General features: G+C 37.3%; 1 long non-coding RNA gene across 1 annotated transcript; it reads right to left on the bottom strand.

The window, feature by feature from the left end:
* Positions 1 to 379: 379 nt before the first annotated feature.
* LOC124900864 (uncharacterized) lies at positions 380 to 5,320 on the bottom strand. The gene is made up of 2 exons (XR_007058482.1): positions 5,243 to 5,320; positions 380 to 512 (listed from the first exon to the last, which is right to left on the bottom strand). It is a non-coding gene; the product is annotated as an uncharacterized LOC124900864 (long non-coding RNA).
* Between the last annotated feature and the right edge of the window lie 4,677 nt (positions 5,321 to 9,997).

The raw sequence follows: 9,997 nt of genomic DNA, 5'->3' as shown, positions 1-9,997 counted from the left end.
CGAGTCTTTTAAACTTTCTGGCGTCTTGTACTTCATCCAGTGTTTAAAGCATGGGAACTGTCCACTGTCATTCCTTAAAAGTCAAAGTCCTTTTTATCAAAACTTAGTTCTAGGAAGTTGGAGGAAGGTGCAGTGTCCCCTGTAGTATTTAATGCTCCTGTTTCCTCTATTCCCAATCTCTCTCTTTCTCAGTTTGGTGGATCTTAACCCATTTATGCCTGAGGCTGCAATTTTCTTTTCGTGAAAAATCAGACCTTTGTGATGATCTTGAGCAGGAGAATATAAGTAACCCCCACAAGCTTAGCCTCCCAATAATAAATCATGAGGCATAAATGGGTTTTAATATAATAAAAAAAAGAGAGCAGTAATCATCCTAAGATTTTGTCACTATTTGGTTTATTTCTTAAATATATCAGACTTAAATCTAGATCCGTAACATTTTAACTCAGTAAAGTACTTCTCACAAACATTCTCAGATCCCTTTCTGATAACTCCCACTGGCTTCATGACTCCTGAAAAAAATGAGAGGTGATAGATAAAGGGATTAGTGTTGGAGAGAAAAGAACACTTCAATTAATATATCGCTATATTGTAATACTATATCATTATTTATTTTTCTTCTGTATAAAGGACAACATATGTAAATGTATAGTTTCATAGGCTATCTTTTCTGGAAATGATTGATTTAACAATGAGGATTATTAATAAGCCCCACCAAAAGACCTGTGCATTTTGAAAAACATTTTAAAGCTTAGAGAGCCAGCATTTTTACTTTCTTGAATAAACTCTTAAATGGTATTATGCTAAATCCTCCAGGCAAGAAACTAGCTCTTGACTGGAAGAGAGTACCCCAAGGGAAACAGATTTGTCTGCCTGTGGGTACCCAGCAGGAAACTCTGCAGAAGCAATTTAAGGTCTGGCAAACATCTCTCAGCATAGCCTGGGCTGGAGAGTAAGGCCAAAGATGAATATAATGATACAATGGTCATGGTATCTCCTCCTACTTGCCAGAGGACTCTAGGCCAAAGAAGACACTGTAGGGCCCTTCCACTTCTGGAGAACAATTGTGTGTGGAATCTGCTTAGCACATTTAGGGATTTACCTCTCAGCACACAAATGCGTGCGTGTGTTAAACTTTGGAACTTGTAGTGCTGTGTATTTTCTTTCTTTTATTCTAGTTAGCACTTTATGCCCTAGTTTATTCTCGTTTTATTATTTGAGTTCATTTAAAATGTTTTTGCATATTTATCTTTTTCTTTTAATCTTTTAGTCCTTTTGTTTTACAGTCTCACAGTTAATTGTTCTTAGTTGATTTATCTTTTCTTACTCTTTCATAAGACTTTTCTTTTATCTCATGTTTACTTTGTTCTTATATTACTTATTTACTTAGTTTCTTCTTATCACCTTAGGCTTTGTTTTAATTATTTCCTTTTTATGTTATCTATTTTTCATTTTAGTTTTTAATTTTTTATTATCTTCTTTCCTCTTTCTTATCTTTATTTTAGTTTATCTTAATATAACAACCAGAGTACTAAAACATGTGAGAAGAGAGATGAGCAGAGCATGCCTCTGCCCTAAGCAAGGGAGATTGCTCTCTTTCTTTTGTCCGCTTGGTTTTTCCTGTCTCTTACCAGGGAGGATCATCCTATCTCTAAACTCTCCTGGCTCTAAATCTTCATTCTGGAAAGGCCATGCTGTGCAGTAGTTAAGGGCACAGTCTTAGGAATAAAACAAATCTTGACTCACATTAGTACTGTGCTCTTAGGATTGTTACCTACTCTTTAGCACTAAAAGCTAAAAGTCTATAGTAATAACAATAACTTGCAAATGATGTCCAGATTAATTCATATGAAACATATTTACTCGTTTCTGCCTACTTCACTATTGGAAGGACTAGGATACGAATAACATTTAATTATGTTTCTAGAGGGGTGGCAGCCAGTCTTTTCAAGTTACTCCATACAATCCTAAACCTAATTTTTATTAAGCAACTGACATGGATTTCCTTGTCTGTCGTTTCTGGACCAAATAAACTATGACACCAATTTTGTTCCTTTCCATTTTTTTTTTTCATTTTTCTCTGGCATCCTTTTCTTTGCCTTGCCAAGGAAGAGACATGTCCTTTAAGTGAGGTTTGCAACTCTTAATTTCCTTTAAAATAGCCTAAAGTAGCCAAAATGTTACCTTTAGGTTGATTCCTCTATTCTTGTGATATTTGTCCACTTAAATTGCTCATTGATTCCAAATGATGGCAACGGAGAGCCATGGTTCACTGACAGATTTTAACAGTATTCTGCATTAACTGATCATGTTTTATTTACTTGGTTTCAAATTTCTGTCCAGGAAAGTTGTGAAATGAAATATTGGAACTCTAAATTTAAAGTTCCTAATCTATCATTGTAGAAATTGTCCAGAGCTCCCTTTCTGATTTCATATCTCTGACAATTAGGACAACATAATTATTAGGATAGTAGATAATATTGTATGTGGATTTAACATTGGTTTCTCAAGAAAATAGTGCTTGCATGGGTTTCACTGCTATCTGTTATATGTCGAAAACTGTGCCAGTTCTCAGAGCAGAAATACGGTCAATGTAAATATAAACTAAACAAATTACTATCAATTATTTTTAGATCATTTAGTTTCAATATGAACCTGTTTCAACATACGTTGACTATTTCCATTAAAATGAAGACTATGTCTTAATGTCTTTTATTTCAAGATACATTCATATTGCCTAAAATGCAATTCTCTGGAAAAAGCATTAAACCATATTTATGTAGCTTGGGAAAGTCTATCTTATACAAAGCTCAACAGATCATCTATTTGCATAGGTCACACACATTGTCAATTGACTCATATTCTAAACTTTACTGTTTTACTTAACTTTTTTTCACTTTTGTCAAACGACTTTTGAGAATCATTTAGATATTTTGCATATGTCTATATTTGTAATTGTAAAATAGAGTTTGGATTTTTCAGACAAGGATGATATCTATTTCATTTTTCTCCAGATGTTAAAATATGAGAGTAGTAACATTTGAATATTAAATAACCTGCTATATAAAAAGGCACATGTTTCTCTGAATCATGGTCAGGTTTTTTGCATATAGGGAAATTCAGGATTTTGAGATATCACAAGAAATCAAGTTCTTGTCTCTCAGTTCTTAGTCTCAGCTATCAGTAAAAAACTTCTAAGAGTCAAATAACTTAGTTTCTACTAACAGTTTTCTAAAAGTATTTGTCAGCTTTCACTAGACTTCTTAAAATTTATTTTAATGTGTTGTTCTTTTAGTCCTCTAACTTTTCAATATTCAAGACAATTATTTCTGCATCAGTAGCACTATTCGCCATGTCAACTGGCTTGTCATTTACAAAAAACTTTTTAACAATATATGCTAGCACATTTTTGAGATATTAGAATTAAAGCTTTCAAATTACTTTGTCTTTCAAAAAAGATTGTTCTGTAAACACCATAGAAAAATACAGTTTTGAATTCTCTTGAACTGCATTCCTGACATAAACAATATTAAAAGTTTTTTGCAATAATATATAATGTACCTTATTATGTCACCATGATAAATAAACTTTCTGGAGCTATTTATTTTCTAAGTATATGTTATACACTTCATATGCTCCCTTTGCCTGATTTAATTAAGAATGGGGTACAAAAAACCAGTCAAAGCACTTCAAGATATTTGGATATTTTACTGTGATATAGAACCAAAATGGAGTAAATCAAAAGATTTCTTTGCACTTTCTGAAGTGATCACAAGATTTGTAGCTCTTACATAAATAAAACTTGAAAAGGCCTCTGTCACAATGATCTTTTGTAACAATGACTAACATTTTTACTATGTGAGCTTAAAGTTGACTAAAAAATAAGATTAATTTAGCCTACCTTAAGTTTTCAAATATGACAAAATCAGATCAGATTTATTAGCATTTTAAAATCATTCACAATATTATTAATATTTAGAGAGTCAGTCTCTATTAGTACCCATATTTGAGAATGCAACCAGATAAAAATAATTGTTTTATTTCCACATCTTAATTCTCTATCAAATTTGAAATAAGAAAGGCACCATTCAACAAAAACATAATACTTGTTAATCTGTATTTGCTCATAAAATCATTTACCATTCATATTCACTTCAGGCTGGAAGACCCATGTTTATTGTGTTGAAAATTATTCATTGACAAATAATAGTATCTGCTTGTCCTTATTTAGGCAGAACCTGACCATGGAGTTATTCAACAATATCATATCAATTTGAATGAATAAATTTTTCAGCCACAGTTCTTTCAGAAATTTTGAGACATATAAATAGGGCAGTTGATAACTGTCCTGTTAAAAAAGCTTTATCTCTTCTTGTCTTTTTGTATAATACTCAAAGATTTCTATTTTCATTTTTAATTATGCCTGAGTTTCCTTTATCCATTTGTGTTTCTGTAGGTATTTGAAAAGCTCATGTAAGGTGGCTTATGCGGCTAAATATGTATATATATATATATATACACATATACATATATATATACATATATATATATACATATACATATATATATACATATACATATACATATATATATACATATACATATATATACATATATATATACATATACATATATATATATACATATATATATATATATACTTCTGTATCATTGTGAAGATTGTTTATTTTTTTCTACTATCTTGATTTCCTTGCATTTCACATCAGGCAGCATCCTTCCTGTTTTCCTTCAGTCTTGGGGATTTTTTCACTCTCTTTTTCCTCTACTTACCTCTTCTGGCATTAGAAGCATATAGCTGTTTTTTGTTTGTTTGTTTGTTTTTAATTTTTCCTTGCAGAGCAGGGCTACCCCACAGGCAGTGTGCACAGAGTAGCCAGAATCAGTTTTAATATTCTTGTTTTTGTTGTGGTGGTGGTGGTAGAATCTGGTTTATCAGATAAGACTAAGTATGTCTTGAGTGAATAGAAATGACAGTTTTAACCCAGTTATTTTGTTATTTACATATAAGAAGTCTAGAGGTTTTCATATGGGGTCTGGAATAGCAGCACTAAATTATCTTTGGGAATACTGGCTTTTCCTATCTTTCCATTTAGCTATCTGAGCGTACAGTTTTAAGTTCACACTCAATGCTTCATGGTAACTGGCAGGTTGTTTCACCTATGGCATCAAATCTCAATTTTAGGTAAGAAGAAATAGAGTAAATGACAAAAGTTTATACCACCTGTGTCTCCTCATTTAAAGAGCTTCGCAGGCATAAATTCTGTTTACATCTAATTGCCCCAAAGTTGTTCAAATGAATGCTCTCAACTGCAATAGAAGTAGAAAAAATATAATTTCTTTAAAAAGCACTTTAAATGACAGAATCATATTTCTGAAAGAGAAAAATAGACATTACAAAGTCCACAATGGAACATTTTGAAATAATTTGTCCCTTACTCCTGACTTTGCCTAAAGTGCTGTGAATTCTACCCAAAATGAACAGTTTTTGTTTGTTTTTTCAGTTAATCTAAAGTTTAAAATGATCATTATTTGTAAAAAACAAACAAACAATAACAACAGAAAAACCTTTTGCAAATGTTCACCATAGAGTGTTAAGAACAAAACAAAACACTAACATGGGAAAAAATATGAAACTCAATATTTGTAGATTTTCACCATAAAATGACTTTTTAAAGAGAACAAAAGTAAATAATATACATTGTATATTATTGTACTGTATAATTAATTATACTAATAGTATTATTAGTATACTACTACATAATTAGTATAATACATTTTTATATTGTGCTAATAATATTTATATGATTATATTAGTGTACTATAACTGTTATGCACATCCATATAAGAGACCACCTGAGCAGGCTTAGTGTGAGCAACAAGGCTGTTTGTTCACTTGGGTGCAAGTGGGCTGAGTCCGGGAAAGGAGTCAGTGAAGGGTGGTGGGATTGTCATTGGTTCTTATAGGTTTGGGATAGGCAGTGGAGTCAGGAGCAATTTTTTGTGGGCAGGGGATGGATGTTACAAAGTACATTCTCAAGGACGGGGAATATCACAAAGTACATTATCACAAGGGCGGGGGAACGTCACAATGGCTTGATCATGGTGCGGCCAGCCCAGAGGACCTTACATTCCTGTCTTTTTATGTTAATAATGAAGAAATAAAATGAGAAAGTGTAGTGAAAACTTGGGGTGAAAATTTTGGGGATCGTATGGAGGGGTGATGGGCGACGTTTCTCGGGGCTACTTCAAGCCGGATTAGGGGCAGCTCAGGAACCTAAAGTGGGAGAGACTAGACTGAACTGAGGTTTTGGGGTAAGGGGTCATATTGTGGGGTTGTTAAAAGCAGCATTTGTCACATAGAGTGATTAGTGATAGCCTGGATGTGGTTTTGTAGGAATTGAGAGATGAATCGGGAGACACAGGCCGGAATAAGAGAAGGAGGAAGATAGGTATTAGAGGACTAACGACTGGAAGAAGCCAGGATACCCAGTTAGAGAGTGGCCAGGTGGGTCCACCATAATTAGTTGCCTGATTGGCGAGTTTTTGAGCTTTGTCTTTGAGTTTTTCATGTTATCATATACCAGGCCAGATTAAGTAAAAACAACACTCTTTGTTAAGAAATATACAGTGTCCTCCTTTTTCAGCAGTGAGTAAATCGAGGCCTCAGCGGTTCTGGAGGACAACTACAGCTAAAGAGTCAACCTGGGCTTGGAAGACAGATAAAGTTTGTGATATATCTGTAATGCTAGCAGAGAAGTCATTAGAGAGGCTGCGGAATGTTGTGACAAAGGTTGAGATGCCTGCTATTCCAGTTCCAAGTGCAGTAGCGGTGGCAGAAAGTCCTAGACCCACAAGTAAAGGGATTAGTGGGATGACTCTTTTTTGTTGTGTTGGTGTCATGAGGGGGACAGGCAGTTGTTCATTCCCATCTGCAAGCTGGATTTTGGGGGTAAAGAAGACTAGAGTATATGTTCCCAACCAGTTGGCAGGTAGGCACATGTAGGTGGAAGAGCCACATTAAAAAAAGCGATTTTGTGTCAGGCAGAACTAGAAATGTAAAGTGGAAAGGTGAGAGGGTGTACTGAAGGAGGAGTCCTGCTAACAAAATCGTAGAGATCCAGCAAGGGCAGCAGCCATTTGAGGTTGCAATGGGCATTAATGGTGCAACTGCATAGAGGGAGATGTTCGATTCTCACGGTGTATGAGAAATCGCATAGTGTCTACAAGTAATCTTTCACTGCTATTCATGGGGCTGGGTATAAGCAAGCAAGAGGAGGGGCCAAGAGGAAAGTCAGATGAGCAAGGGGAGGGTAGCCAAGGATGGAGTGAGATGCAGGGTAGGTGTCTTCCTAAACAATAGTGACTGCCAATGTTTTTTTGGTTTGTCAATAATGATAGAGGGCTTATCAGTAATGCAAAGTTGGAATCCTCCTATCTGTTTGGTGATGTATGTGGCCGGGTTCTGGAGATAGAGTACAGGAACATTTGGATGGTGGAAGGTTGCCTAAAGGGATTCCCATAGGCTGTTGTCGGGAGACACATAAAGCAGTGGCAACAGGGATAGTTTTCTGTGTGGTTAGGGGTCCAAATATTGGGGGGTGGGGGGTGGAATTGACATAAGAAGAAAGAAGCTGTAAGTAGGTGTGGAGAAGTGTGGCACCTTGTTGGTGCGAAATGTATAGGGAGTTCTCACCAAATCTGTCTAGAAAGTAAAGAAGTTCCTCAGGCAGGTAAAGATGAAGGCTATTAAAGGAGGTTCGGAGGTGCAGTGAGACAGGAGAGGTAGCCTAGTCATCCTACAGAGCGGGGATGATTGCATAAGAGCAGGAAGAAAGGGAAACACATAGTCAACAATTCTTTGCTAGAGAAGGATTGGAGACAGTAAGCAGAGAGTGGGTGAGATTGATAGTATGCTAGAGGTAACTAGGGAGAGGTAGAGAGACTGGAGAATGGGGGCAAGGATAAGAGTGAGTAGAAAAGTAAAAATAAGGACTTCATCAGGATAGAAGAATTGGAGTGTACCTTGTCACTGAAGATCTTCTATCCACTCCAAGAGAGAGTTAAGGTGGCAGTTTAAGGTAAAACCAGGAGATATCAGTGATGATGATTTGGAGGAAAAGTGTAAACTGGCAGTGTAAACAAGGGCAGGGCATTTGTGAATAGTTGAGAATGGTGAATAGGAGTATGACTAGACAGATGATAGAGATAACAAGTTTTGGGGGCTCAGTCCAAGTAGTGGGGGTGACTGCGTAAAGCCCTGTTGCAAAAAGTAGGGAAAGGAAGAAGAGAGCTAATAGAATGAAGGGATGTATTAGGCTAATAAGGGTTATTACTGTTCTTCAGAAATGTGAGTGAGTTTAAGGGAAGTAGCGGAGAGTACTTGCGACTTCCAGGAGGAAGAGGAGAGATGAGACTGGCTGTCCAACAGACACAGCTTTATTCTGGAAAGGTGAACACAGTGGGGAGGGTCCTGCAGGCAGACAGCAGTTGGGGTACCATAGATGACTAAGTAGGGTCCAGTCCATTGAGGTTGTAGAGTTTGAGGGGTCGTATTCTTAACAAGAATTGATTGTCCAGCTAGGGTATCTTCATATGGCTGGGAATCTGGAGTAGGCAAGAGAAGATTAGCAGCCTGCCGAATTTCCTGTCTAGCCTGCTTGAGGACTGGAAGATAGTCGCCTAGAGGGCTGGTGTCTGGCATGAAGTTGGGGCCCAAAAAGAAGGTGCATCCATATAAAAGTTCAAATGGACTATACCCTGTAGCTTCTTGAGGACAGCCTCTAGTTCTAAGGAGGGCAAACGGTAAAAGTACTGTCCAGTCTTTTTTAAGTTGGAGGCTGAGGTTGGTGGGGTAAGTTTTTAAAAGACCATTAGTTCTTTCTACCTTTCCTGAAGATTGAGGATGGTGGGGGGCATGAAGTTTCCACTGGATGCCAAGCACTTGGGAGACTGCTTGAGTGACCTGACTAATGAAGGCGGGTCCGTTATCGGACTGTATAGAAGTGGGAAGGCCAAACTGAGGAAATATGTCTGACAGAAGGGAAGAAATGGCCGTGGTGGCCTTCTCAGACCCTGTGGGAAAGGCCTCTACCCATCCAGTGAATGTATCTACCCAGAACAAAAGCTATCTTGGTTTTTTGACATGGGGCATATGGGTAAAGTCAATCTGCCAGTCTTGGGTGGGGGACAAATCCTCAAGCTTGATGTGTAGGAAAGGGAGAGGACCTAAGTTATCCCCAAGGGGTGGTAGAGTAGCAGATGGAATACTGAGAAGTAATTTCCTTGAGGATGGATGTCCATGATGGAAAAGAAATTAGAGATTCTAACAGTTGGGCCATTGGCTTGTAACCCACATGAAAGAGGTTATGAAAGGATGATAAGATAGAATAAGCCTGTGAGGCAGGAAGGAGGAACTTTCCTTGATCCAACAACCATTTGCCTTATAAGTAGGAAGGGATTGATAGGTAATAGTTTCAGTGGGAGGATAGGTGGGAGTGATAGAGGAGAAGGAAAAAAAAACTGGCCACGAGGGACAGATGTGGGAATACTAGCTGCTTCTTTTGCTGCATTATCAGCATAAGCGTTGCCTCGAGCAATGGGATCTGGTGACCTCTGATGCCCTTCAGTGAATGACTCTGGCTTCCTTGAGAAGTAGAGCAGCCTTAAGGAGGATTTTTATTAAGGAAGCATTGATGATGGAGGACCCTTCTGTAGTGAGAAAACCTCTTTCTGCCAGCATAACAGCATGGTGATGTAGGATGTGGAAGGCATACTTGGAATCAGTGTAGATACTGACACATAGTCCCTTTGCAAGGGTGAGAACCCAGGTTAAAGCAGAGTTCAGCTTGTTGAGAGGTAGTGGAAGGGGGCAGGCAGTACCTTCAGTGACAGATGTGGAAGACACTACAGCATAGCCAGCTCTTGCCAGTGACTGACGATTCGGCTTTGAAGAACGACCATCAATAAACCAAGTGTG

The sequence above is a fragment of the Homo sapiens genome, chromosome 4 (assembly GCF_000001405.40).
Source record: "Homo sapiens chromosome 4, GRCh38.p14 Primary Assembly".
In the NCBI taxonomy this organism is placed as follows: domain Eukaryota; kingdom Metazoa; phylum Chordata; class Mammalia; order Primates; family Hominidae; genus Homo; species Homo sapiens.
The sequence above is the reverse complement of the archived record's forward strand: the minus strand, read 5'-3'. Positions and strand labels throughout refer to the sequence as shown.